Source organism: Homo sapiens, chromosome 3 (genome assembly GCF_000001405.40).
Source record: "Homo sapiens chromosome 3, GRCh38.p14 Primary Assembly".
In the NCBI taxonomy this organism is placed as follows: Eukaryota; Metazoa; Chordata; class Mammalia; order Primates; family Hominidae; genus Homo; species Homo sapiens.
In genome coordinates this window covers 27,296,823-27,309,362 of record NC_000003.12, presented here as the reverse complement: position 1 = coordinate 27,309,362, position 12,540 = coordinate 27,296,823, and the positions used below count along the sequence as shown (strand labels likewise).

The 12,540-nt window shown below is 39.2% G+C and overlaps 1 protein-coding gene across 30 annotated transcripts in view; it reads left to right on the top strand.

The window, feature by feature from the left end:
* Positions 1-12,540, top strand: part of NEK10 (NIMA related kinase 10) — a 262,900-nt gene that overhangs the window by 60,021 nt on the left and 190,339 nt on the right. For 24 of the 30 annotated variants that reach the window (XR_001740034.2, XM_047447508.1, NM_001394966.1 and 21 more), the window contains 5 exons: positions 358-437; positions 1,418-1,504; positions 4,392-4,616; positions 7,528-7,667; positions 12,123-12,184. Coding sequence is in view for 29 of the 30 variants with exons in the window: in XM_047447508.1 (XP_047303464.1) it covers positions 358-437; positions 1,418-1,504; positions 4,392-4,616; positions 7,528-7,667; positions 12,123-12,184 (594 nt within the window). In the remaining variant the exon portion in view is untranslated. Of the gene's footprint in view, positions 1-357; positions 438-1,417; positions 1,505-4,391; positions 4,617-7,527; positions 7,668-12,122; positions 12,206-12,540 lie in introns of all 30 variants that reach the window. The other 6 variants (NM_001394969.1, XM_047447506.1, NM_001394967.1 and 3 more) reach the window with 2 other exon arrangements.

The window sequence follows — 12,540 nt, the reverse complement described above, 5'->3', positions numbered from 1 at the left end:
TAATTTTTTTCACTATTCTATGGGTAAAGCCATAATAAAATAAACAACTTGATTATATTGACAAAAAGTGTTTATAAAGATATATTTAATGCCATGAAAAAATTTCAGTAGATAACATTAAGAAAAAAACATAAGAGAGAGCAGCTTTAACATTATATATAGTTTGTGCTTAATTGTATATGCACATACATTATAAACTACTAAGCAAAAAAAAAAAACAGTTAAGCCTATATGATCTTAAGAGGGAAGCATTTTGTCATTCAAGCAGCTGGTAATGGAAAATAAATTAATGTTAATGTTGAAAAAAGAAGCTTGTAGTACTTATATAATTAAACTTTATTTTACTTCATTTTTCAGACATTAGTAAATTTACTTGGTGCCCGAGATACTAATGTTCTATTGGGTTCCCTTCTGGCTCTGGCTAGTTTAGCAGAAAGGTAAGTAGTGTATTCTAATATACTTTCCAGTTCTGCTACTATAGCAATTTAGGTGGTAAGGATGCAAAATAATCAGTTACTTTGTCAACTACTTAATACAATTTCTTGATAAATAAGTGTGAAATAACATGTTGAAGAGAATCCTGGATAGAAGGCATTATTTAAAAATTTAAACTGGAAAGGCAAATTGCAGTTTAAAATTTTCTTTTTATTTCCTGACTGGAAATATTTAGTCTTTTCATCTAACCCTCAGTTACTTCTAATTTCAAAATTACCATAATATTTCTTTGGCAGTTGAATCTTTCTGACCATCTTAATTCATTCTTACCTGTGAATTTTAACATACAGAACGTTTTCAAACATCTGTGGGCTTTGAAAAATTTTCAAGAAGATCTTTCCTCTTATAAATGTCATGATTATTTTAAATGTTTTTATGACAATAAGTGGACCATTGCTTTTCTGTGAATAACATATGATTCCTTTTGTTTTTTGATCTCTTCTCCCAAGATAATATTGGAGCTAGGATATTAAATAAATAAATTTATATGGTTAGGCTTTGTGTCCCCAACCAAATCTCATCTTGAATTGTAATCCCTGTAATCCCCATAATTCCCTCATGTCAAGGGAGAGACCAGGTGGAGGTCATTGAATCATGGGGCCATTTCCTCCATGCTGTTCTCATGATAGTGAGTGAGTTCTCATGAGATCTGATGGTTTTATAAGGGGCTCTTCCCCCTTGGCTCGGCACTTATCCTTCCTGCTGCCTTGTGAAGAAGGTGCCTTGCTTCTCCTTTATCTTCCACCATGACTGTAAGTTTCCTGAGGCCTCCCTAGCCATGCTGAACTGTGAGTCAAGTAAACCTCTTTCCTTTATAAATCACCCAGTCTCAGGCAGTTCTTTATACCAGTTTGAAAAAGGACTAATACATGGATCTAGCAAAATATGCTTTTAGTAATTGCTAATATTTTTCAATTTATAGTCAAGAATGTAGGGAGAAGATAAGTGAACTCAACATTGTAGAAAATCTGTTGATGATTTTACATGAATATGACTTGCTTTCTAAAAGGTAGGATTGCTAACAGTAGAAAAAGACAATGCAGTGCCTTTATTTGACAGATACACTTGTTATTATTTTTATTACGTCATGTTATTTACATTGTAACTGAATATGATGAGTCAGCTTGGCATTTATTTTCTGTTTAAGTTTATATAAAGAAAATAGAGCAAAGAAGTATATCCATTTATGTTTAGTCCTGCATTACTTCTAGATCTGGGCATAGAAGCTGATGAAATAAATTTTTGTGATATCATTTTTAATGTTTTGTTTATTGCATTTATTTATATCCTGCCTTTTTAGGGAAAGAAACTCTGAGGTGGCTCTAGTTTTAGTAATTTCAAATTGTATATTACAATAAGTGATTAGGTTGCTAAAATCCATTTGCATGAAGGCAAGTAAAATAAGATAGCAACTGACTTGTTTTGTGATCACCTGCTATGATAACTCAAAATCTAGAGTAAAATGGATTCATTTTTACTTGAACTGCATATTGTTCTAATAACTATCCAGATAGTTATTAGATTGTACTTAAATAGAGTTGCAATCTATATCATTTGATATTTAGTTGAGTAATTTTCTAAAGAGGCAAAATAGATAAAAAGAAATCTCCAGCAATGGAGCCCTGACACTTAACTCATAGTAAATCCTTTTGGATTCTTCTTCAAAACTCTCATAAAAGAGCATTAAATATAGATAATACTTATAGACTTGGTTATCTGAACAAACAAGGTTCCAAGCTTGGTACCAGGTGTTGAAAACCAAAGATGAATAAGTTATAAATATGTAGTGTAGAAGAGGGTCAAACAGTGCTATAACTGATACGGTAGACAGATGCACAGGGTACTCTGGGAACATGGAGCAGAGACTTCCCAATTAGAATGTGGAGTCATGCAAAGTTTCCTGGAGGAAAGAGAAGATATCTAGGCAGAGAGAGAGAGACAACATAAAAACAGTATGTGCTTGGACATGGAGGCATGAAATTGGGTGTGTTAGAGGAATGTGATGGTTGGGCACAGCAGGACCATAAGAACAAAAGTGCCAGAGAACTAGAACAGATAGTTAATGATAAATTTAAAATGTAGCTAACTTTGATCAGTGTTTTCTATATGCCAAGACCTGCTCTAAGCACTTTGCTTATTAACTCATGTGATCTGCACATTAACCCTATTTTTCCCGTATTTTATAGATAAGGCAACAAGACACCTTTATCCAGGTCATGATGGTCTCTGATAAATAACGATGTGAATTTTATCATGAACATTATGGGGACTCATGGGAACATTTTAAGCATGATCAAATTTGTTTTTTGAAAGATCACTTTGATAGCAGTGTATGTGGGAGTGAGGTGGGGGTGTTTGTTTATATCCACACATTGAGATCCACTTACAACAAAGAGAGGCTGGGAAAGTTCGTGAAGGTAAAGAATACTATTTATCAAGGAACATTTATTATTAATGTCAGAGCACAAAATTTGGGAGGGAGAGGAGCCATAGGTAATCAGCTCAGGGGAAAGGAATGAGAAAGCCGTATGAGAATGAGAATATTGGAGAGGTAGATGAAAGAGGGATTTATATCTTGAGCATGACAAAGGATTACAAGGATGGGAGGAGCAGTGGGGTTACCTAGCTGCCTGGTGTTCAAAAGAATCCCAACGTTGCCCAGGAAATAGAAAACACTAAGAGCTCTTGATTGACAGTGGAGGAGTGTGAAAAGAGGAGTATGTGTCTTGATGACTCCCAGTCTTGTGGCTTGGAAGACTGAAAATATTGTGGTGCCATGAGTCAAGATCGGGGATATAAGGTGAAGAATAGACCTGGGGAGGAGGCTAATGACTTTGAGTTTAGGGGTAGTATGGAGAGTACTTGTGGAATATCCATGTGGCTAAAACTTCTGGAAGTTAGGAGCAATGCCTGGGCTGAGATCATGATGACAGGGTTGAAAGAGTGTTTGAAATCATGGGAATGGATGACACCATCCAGGAGGGGAGTGTTTAGAGTATGAAACTGGAGGACTAAGGATGATTCTATAAAACGTTTATCATCATAATATTTCATGGCACAGCTGAACCTTGTGTCTTTACCATCAATTTAATGCACTTTGCACTGAGTATATAGTAACTGAGTGCTTTGCCCTTAACTTACCTGCATTGTAGTGTTTTTGACATTTTCTAAGAATGTCTTATTTTGCAATTACATAGTAAGTTTCTGAAGACTAGAATAAGGCTTTTATTATTATTATTTTTTTTTTTTTTTTAGTCTTTAGCACAATGCAGATGTCATTGTTTGTCCTTGATACCTATTTGCTGGTCAGTAGGTTTGTTTTTTGTTTTTGTTTTTGTTTTTTAAACAGAGTCTCGCTCTGTCACCCAGGCTGGAGTGCAGTGGCAAGTGACCTCGGCTCACTGCAACCTCTGCCTCCTGGGTTCAAGCAATTCTTCTGCCTCAGCCTCCCAAGTGGCTGGGATTACAGGCACACACCACCACGCCCTGCCAATGCTGGTCAGTAGGTTTTTAATCAGACCAACGATGATGCAACGAGCCTATAATTTAGAACAGTGGTCTGCAAACTATGACCTACAGTCTAAGTTTATTCCACTGCTTATTTTTGTAAATAAAGATTTATTTTAACATAGGGATGCGAATTTATTTTTATATGTTGTCTATGGCTGCTTTCATGCTATCTCAGCATAGCTGAGTAGTTGTGACACAGATTGTACAGTTAGTAAAGCTAAAAGTGTTTGGCTTTGATCGGGCTCCTTACAGAAAATGGCACATTGACCCATGACTTACAAAATGTTAGGGTTATATTTCATGCACTGATGATAGCTTTAGTCTTAATGTAAAGTAATCAACTCATGATGCTGTGATTCTCACCCCACCCTCTGTACCCCTTTCAGACTAACAGCGGAGTTGCTGCGCCTACTTTGTGCAGAGCCCCAGGTGAAAGAGCAGGTGAAGCTCTATGAGGGGATACCGGTCCTCCTCAGTCTGCTCCACTCTGACCACTTGAAGCTCCTCTGGAGCATTGTCTGGATTCTGGTACAGGTTTGTGAGGACCCTGAGACCAGCGTGGAAATTCGCATTTGGGGAGGCATCAAACAGCTTCTTCATATTTTACAAGGGTGAGTAAAAGTGGGCTTTGGCCTACTTTGCCCTGTTTGTTGAAGTCTGGGGACTCTGTGACAAGATGGCAGATTGGTGTGTGTCACCTCATTCCCTCCTGCTTTGGGATTTCTTTGGTAATTCATGCTTTCCAAAGTCATCTAGACTTGTCACAAGCATGTTCTAAATCAATGTCAGGGGCATTCATCTTTTAAATTCCTTGGGGACCCAGATATATTTATCTTTGCATCACCAACCTCCAGTACAGTGCTGGGAATGTAGAAGGCCATCAATCTGCAAATATAATGAAGGCTGAATGGAAATCCAGTAACCTAAAAAAAACCTTTGTCTTGCCACCTTTTCCTTGAATTAGTATATGCATTTTGTCATTCCAAGTATAATGATTACTAATATTTTCCTAAAATGTTTGTGTGTGCACATATGTTATTATCTATAAAGAGAAAACAAAGCCTATATGAAAGGAGCAGGTGTACAATCCTTGTTTTTGAAAGATGATATCATTAATCAAGTGGTTGCCATGTTACTAACTCTAGTCCAGTTCTCTACTTTTCTCTCTAATCTTCATTACGGTCCTCTAAGGTGGGCATTATCTCTCTTTTAAAAGTAGAATTCCAGTGACATTCTAAGTCAGGAGCACGGAGAATGGATAGTTTTGTTCCCAATTGAAATTCTCTAGAAGTACGTTGCAAACTAACTTCTGTATTTTCTGAATTAAATAGATTGAAGTATTTAATAATAATATCTTGTGGTACCATCCATGGGAAGATTCTATTACCTAATATTGTTATAAAGTATAATTCAGTTCTATGGGTGCTGAACCAAAGTTAAAAATGAGTATGCCTCCTTGAACTGGATCGTCTTTATGATCTGCAGTACATAAATAAAGCTCATTCTAATAAAAGCAGAGGGACTTATCAATTTTCATATAACTAGATATTATCAAATCAATGTTGTTATGACTTTGTATTTGTTATGCTTCCAGCGATATTGCAGAACTGTGTGTTACCAACTTCATTTTCTCTTAAGGAACATTCAGAAGCATAAGAATAGACTGTACAGACATGAACAGTAGCTTTGTTAACAATATTTGTCATTACCTAAACAAAGGAAAAATTTATAGACTGTTGACAACCCACTTGCTTCATGAATGTGACATAAAAATATCAATTACTTTATAGTATAAATTATAAGTCATTCATTAGTGCTGTGACATAATAAGCCAGCCCCTTGGTCAAAATAATTACAATTGCCAAAGGTTTTTTATTTAGGTTTGTAGGATGACGATGGTAATGATGATCATGGTGGTGGTTATTCTTTATTATTGGACAATCATACCTATTATAATAGGTATGGGTTGCCCTCTTGGAGAACAGCTATTTTCATAAGGATAAAATGAAATTCTGTAATAGTTAAGCAGAATTTCAAAGACAAAACCTGCCTTTTTCTCATATAGAATTGAATCTAGCTTTCTTCTTTTGCTGAAGTCATAACTATCCTTGGTAAAAAAGAGGTCTTTCACATCTAAAGTATCATTTTCCAGTCCATTTTGATGGTGCAATGTTAGCAAACTTTTCCCCAGGACAATGACATATTTTAACTCTTATTCTATGTTAAATATGTACTGGTGCTTTGGGAGAATTTATTACCCCAGCTGGATAAACAGTTTCTTTTCAGAGCTTGTGCCTGACCCTGGGCTGACTGCAGCTGGCATTAGGGGTAGACGTTTCCAGGCTGTCTTGTGGCTGGAGTATGAAGAACACTGTTTTCAGGGCAGTTTCTGGGACACTTTCTCATGCCTGTTCACCTGCCATCTCAAACTCAAAGGCAGCTCCCAAAGGGCTCTCTTGATCAGGTGAAGAGATCCCTACAATTTGAGTTTTAAGAGAATCATGTTGACAGATAAGATCACCACCTGTGACTGTCCCTAGGCCTAGCTCCATTACCTTCCCCATGCTCATTGCAGGGAGGACACTAGTGGACCCAGATGACATGAGAGGGAAGTCAAGGAAACTCCATCCATGTTACATTTAGGCACAGAGAAATTCAGGTAGAGTTGCTGCTATAAAAAATAAATACATGGAAAAAAATGGTAACTATGTAAAACAAAAGGGAACAAAGCAGGTGAAAGACAGATGAAGAACTATTATGGAAGAAAGTGTACTGAGTAAACAGAAAAGCCAATGCTTTATTTCATCAAAGACATTAAGCAGAGCATGAATTTATGAAATGAGATTAAAGATGAAACAAATTTTTGGACACAAAAAAGGGAGAAGACTGCAGAGCTAGGAAAGAAAACAAGGACTGAATAACACCTACAGAACCGATAAATTGCTAGATCACCAGAAAAAAATGGAAATAGTAAAATGTAGGGTAAGCTTGAAAAAAATTACATATAATGCAGAAGAAAAAGACCAATGAATAAAAGAAATTAGAAAATGAAAGATACGCCCAATAGAAGAAGACAGGTTTTCAACATGTGGACAATTGAGATCCCTGAAGTACAGAGTAAAATGAAAAGGGCCAAACATTTCCAAGATATGATAGGAGAGAACTTTCTTAAAATAAAGGAAGATTGAAAGTTCATGGAAAAAGGAAACTGAGAATAATCAAGACTGAGATGTATTCAGGTGAATCAACTCCAGGAAAATAGAAAATTCAAAAACAAAGGTGGCCATGTAGAGCAGTGGGGAGAGGACACTTTTCAATAAATAGTGAGAAATCAGTAACCATAAAAAAATGGTTCTTACCACACACCATACACAAAAATCAATTCCAGGTGGATTGGAAAGTGAAACAATAATGATGCCTTCATGACCTGAGGGAGGCAAAGATTTCTTAAATGTGACACAGAAAGGACTGACGGTGAAGGGAAATTGATAAATGGTCTATGCATTAACTTTTCTTTTTCAGAGACAGAAATTTTGTTTCTGATCACTCCTCCATTGGAAGCCTGTCCAGTGCAAATGCTGCAGGCCGAATCCAGCAGCTTCATTTATCAGAAGACTTGAGCCCTAGGGAAATACAAGAAAATACTTTCTCACTTCAAGCAGGTATTTATGTTTTATTATTTGATATGCTATAATTTATTGTGTTGTATTATTATTCACTATCATAGATTAGTGTAGTAGTGTTAAGTAGGCAAAATTTAGAAGTTTACAAAAATGTAAAGTGAAATCCACATGGATGCCAGAAACTTCTTGGTCCCAGTGTTGGACTTGCAGATGAATGATACAACAAATGTTTCTTTGTCTTCTGTGTTCTGAACCTAGCAAGAGATAAACACAGAAGTCAGAGATAAGGATACAAAACATTAGCTTTATTATGAGGAAAGCTGGATTAGGGGATGCAGCTTGATCTGTGGCCAGAATCATGCTTTCTAGAATTTTCTAGATCCCAGGGCACCCTACATAAGGGGGAATCTACAGTGCACACACTTGTCTCACCAGGTGCAAGAGAGTACCTTCCCCATGCTTCTTGAGCTCCAAAGAGAAGACTGAAAGATGCTGCCCTGTCTAGGATTTTCACATGCAAGCAGGAGCAGCAATGCATCAATGCTTTTTGGCAGGGCCACCTTGAGCAGTCATGCAGTTTGTGCCCTGCCTGGGGGCACCTGGCCTTTGGGACAACTGGAGCTACAGTGCGGTCTGAGTGCTATTGGCCAATTTGGGTGCCCTAGAGCGGCCCACAGAAAGGGAGCAGAGAGGTGTGGTATGGGCCAGCAGGAGACAGGGAGACTCTGAGGGGAAAGAGCAGACTGCAGGAGAGGGAATGAGGGAGTGGGGAAGTGGGAGAGGGCAGGCTTTCCTTGCTGTCTACTATTTTCTCCTGAAGAATACAGAAGATATTTCTTCATAGATGGTGTGAAAACAAGGACATAGGAGCTCCTCCTCAAAGTGCCATTTCTGCTTACTCTGAAAGGCCCCTGTCTCAGTACAAGGTCTTGTGCTGGGGGTTTACTGTTTGAAGACTCCCCAGAAGTCTAATCCAGTGGAATCTCAGAGCTCTGAGTGTTTCTAGCAATCATTCAAAGAGTGGATGAGATTGACGGTGATAGAATTCAGAAGAACAGTTACTTAGATGTGGAATTATAGGAGAGTGAGTGCCTGAGAAGGGGCACAAGGAGCCTTTGAGAACTGGAAATATAGCCTACACATTCCTCTGGGTGGAGGATGGTTACAGGGCACATAGATATGTAGTATCTCATTGAGCCTTACACTTAAGATGTGTTTACGTTACATAGCTTATTCTATACCCGTATTAGTCCATTTTCACGCTGCTGCTAAAGACATACCCAAGACAGGGCAATTTACAAAAGAAAGAGGTTTAATGGACTTACAGTTCCACATGGTTGGGGAAGCCTCACAATCATGGTGGAAGGCAAGGAGAAGCAAGTCACATCTTACGTGGATGATGGCAGGCAAGAGAGGGCTTGTGCAGGGAAACTCCATGCACTTTCAATGGTTTTACAAAAAAAACATTTTAAAAACAATCAGATCTCAAGTGAGACTCATTCACTATCATGAGAACAGCACAGGAAAGACCCACCCCCATAATTCAATCACCTCTCACTGGGTTCCTCCCATGACACATGAAAATTGTGGGAGTTACAATTCAAGATTGAGATTTGGGTGGGGACACAGTCAAACCATATCATTTTGCTCCCGGCCCCTCCCAAATCGTATGTCCTCACATTTCAAAACCAGTCATGCCTTCCCAACAGTCCCCCAAAGTCTTAACTCATTTCAGCATTAACTCAGAAGTCCACAGTCCAACATCTCATCTGAGACAAGGCAAGTCCCTTTTGCCTGTGAGCCTGTAAAATCAAAAGCAAGTCAGTTACTTCCTAGATACAATGGGGTACAGACATTGGATAAATACAGCTGTTCCAAATGGGAGAAATTGGCCAAAACAAAGGGGGGCTACAGGCCCCAAGCAAGTCCAGAATCCAGCAGGGCAGTCAAATCTTAAAGCTCCAAAATGATCTCCTTTGACTCCATGTCTTGCATCTGGGTCACGCTGATGCTATAAGTGGGTTCCCATGATCTTGGGCAGCTCCGCCCCTGTGGCTATGTGAGGTACAGCTTCCCTCTCGGCTGCTTTCATGGGTTGATGTTGAGTTTCTTTGGCTTTTCCAGGTACACTGTGCACACTTGTCAGTGGATCTGCCATTCTACTGGAGGACAGTGGCCTGCTTCTTACAGCTCCACTAGGCAGTACCCCAGCAGGGACTCTGTGTGGGGGCTCTGACCCCACATTTCCCTTCTGAACTGCCCTAGCAGATGTTCTCCATGAGAGCCCCGCCCCTGCAGCAAACTTCTGCCTGGGCATCCAGGCATTTCCATACATCCTCTGAAATCTAGGCAGAGGTTCCCAAACCCTAATTCTTGACTTTTGTGTACAAGCAGACTCAACACCACATGGAAGCTGCCAAGGCTTGGGGCTTCCACCCTCTGAAGCAACAGCCTAAGCTGTACCTTGGCCCCTTTTAGTCATGACTGAAGTGGCTGGGATGCAGGGCACCAAGTCCCTAGACTGCGCACAGCAGAGGGACCCTGGGTCCAGTCCATGAAACCGTTTTTCCCTCTGAAACCTCCAGGCCTGTGATGGGAGGGACTGCCACAAAGGTCTCTGACACACCCTGGAGAAATTTTCTCCATTGTTTTGGGGGTTAACATTTGGCTCCTCATTACTTATGCAAATTTCTGCAGCAGGCTTGAATTTCTTTTCAGAAAATTAGATTTTCTTTTCTATTGCATTGTCAGATGGCAAATTTTCCAAACTTTTATGCTGTGTTCCTCTTTTAAAACTCAATGCCTTTAATAGCATTCAAGTCACCCCTTGAATGCTTTGCTGCTTAGAAATTTCTTCTGCCAGGTACCCTAAATCATTTCTCTCAAGTTCAAAGTTCCACAGATCTCTAGGGCAGGGGCAAAATGCCACCAATCTCTTTGCTAAAACATAGCAAGAGTCACCTTGGCTCCAGTTACCAACAATTTCCTCATCTCCATCTGAGACCACCTCGGCCTGGATTTCATTGTCCATATCATTATCAGCATTTGGTCAAAGCCATTCAACAAGCCTCTAGGGAGTTCCAAACTTTCCCACATTTTCCTGTCTTCTTGTGAGCCCTCCAAATTGTTCCAAGCTCTGCTTGTTACCCAGTTCCAAAGTCACTTTCACAATTTCTGTTATCTTTTCAGCAAAGCCCGACTCTACTGGTACCAATTTACTCTATTAGTCCATTTTCATGCTGCTGATAAAGACATACCTGAGACTGGGCAATTTCCAAAAGAAAGGGGTTTAATGGACTTACAGTTCCACATGGCTGGGGAGGCCTCACAATCATGGCGGAAGGCAAGGAGGAGCAAGTCATATCTTAAGTGGATGGCAGCAGGCAAAGAGAGGGCTTGTGCAAGGAAACTCCCATTTTTAAAACCATCAGATCTTGTGAGACTCATTCACTATCACAAGAACAGTGCAGGAAAGACCCACCCCCATAATTCAATCACTTCACACCGGGTTCCTCCTATGACATGTGGGAATTGTGGGGATTACAATTCATGATGAGATTTGGGTGGGGACACAGCCAAACCATGTTAATACCTAAATAAAAATGGAAAAATAAAAATTAAAAACATAAACGGTTAAGAGTAGGGTCTGAGTTTTGGCTCCACCCTCATTGATGGCTATATGGCCTTGGGAAAGTTCCTTAATTTCTCCAAGCTCCAGTTTTGCTTATGTAAAATGGTGATGATAATCATGGTATCAATGATAGAAGATCATTGTGAGAATTATGTGGGAATATATGTAAAATCTTCAGCACAGTAAAATGGAATTATCCTTTATAGGAGCTCTGTGCTATAGAGTCTGGCATACTTCTGAGAGCACAAGTATCTCAGTGCAAAATACCACCAAAGGCTGCCACAGTGGCTGTCAGGAGGCAAGAGTGGTGCTGCTTAGGGCTGGGGATTTAACGTCTGGCAGACTGGGGCTGCACTCCTGGTCATTTCCACTTACTGGTTGTGTGGCCTAGTCTAGTAACTCTTTGAAACTGTTTTCTCACCAGTAACAGTGGTAATCACAGTGCATACTCTTATTATAAGGATTGAGTTGAATAATATATTTAAAGCATTCTTTTATTTATCAACCATTATAGATATATTTGTTGAGCACCTGCTAAGTGCCAGGCATGTTTTGGGCACTGGGGATTACAATGAAATGGACAGATGCAATACTTGCCTCCTGGTACGAAGAAAGTGCTCAATAAATGGTTGCAGTGGAATAGACACGCACATGAATTACATGGGGAGGAGAATTAGAAGCCATTACAAGTCAACTTCTTTTCTTCCAGAGCTGTGCCAAAAGGAAAATTAGTGTTTCTTGAGAAGTTACTTTGCTAATAAAAATAGCAAAATAATAAAAATACCCTGTGGAGTAAGAGTATTTATGTGATAGTATATTTATTGTAATGATGCACACTATGCATTTGATTGTTGTCATTCCAGCCTGCTGTGCTGCCCTCACTGAGCTGGTGCTCAATGACACCAATGCCCACCAGGTGGTTCAGGTGAGAGCACTCCTTCTCAAGGTCAGGTCTCCATAACCATTCATAATCAACTCACCTTGTGGTGCAGTCTGTATCCCAGAACATAGGTTTTGGGATTCCCATCATGTGATTTTAAAACTATTTTAACATTTCTCGTTTAACTAATAAAGTTCCACTTTATATTCTTCTCCTTCCTCCTTTAACTCATTTGACTTAAAAAGGACTGACATGTGGTTAATTGATGTTTCTTCATTATGTTATGTGCGGTCCCTTTTATTTTTTCTTTCTAAAAGGGATACTCTGAATTGCATTAATTCTGGGTGTATAGAATACCATAAGGTAAGGACAGCAATCATTTTGATTAAGACTATGCATCA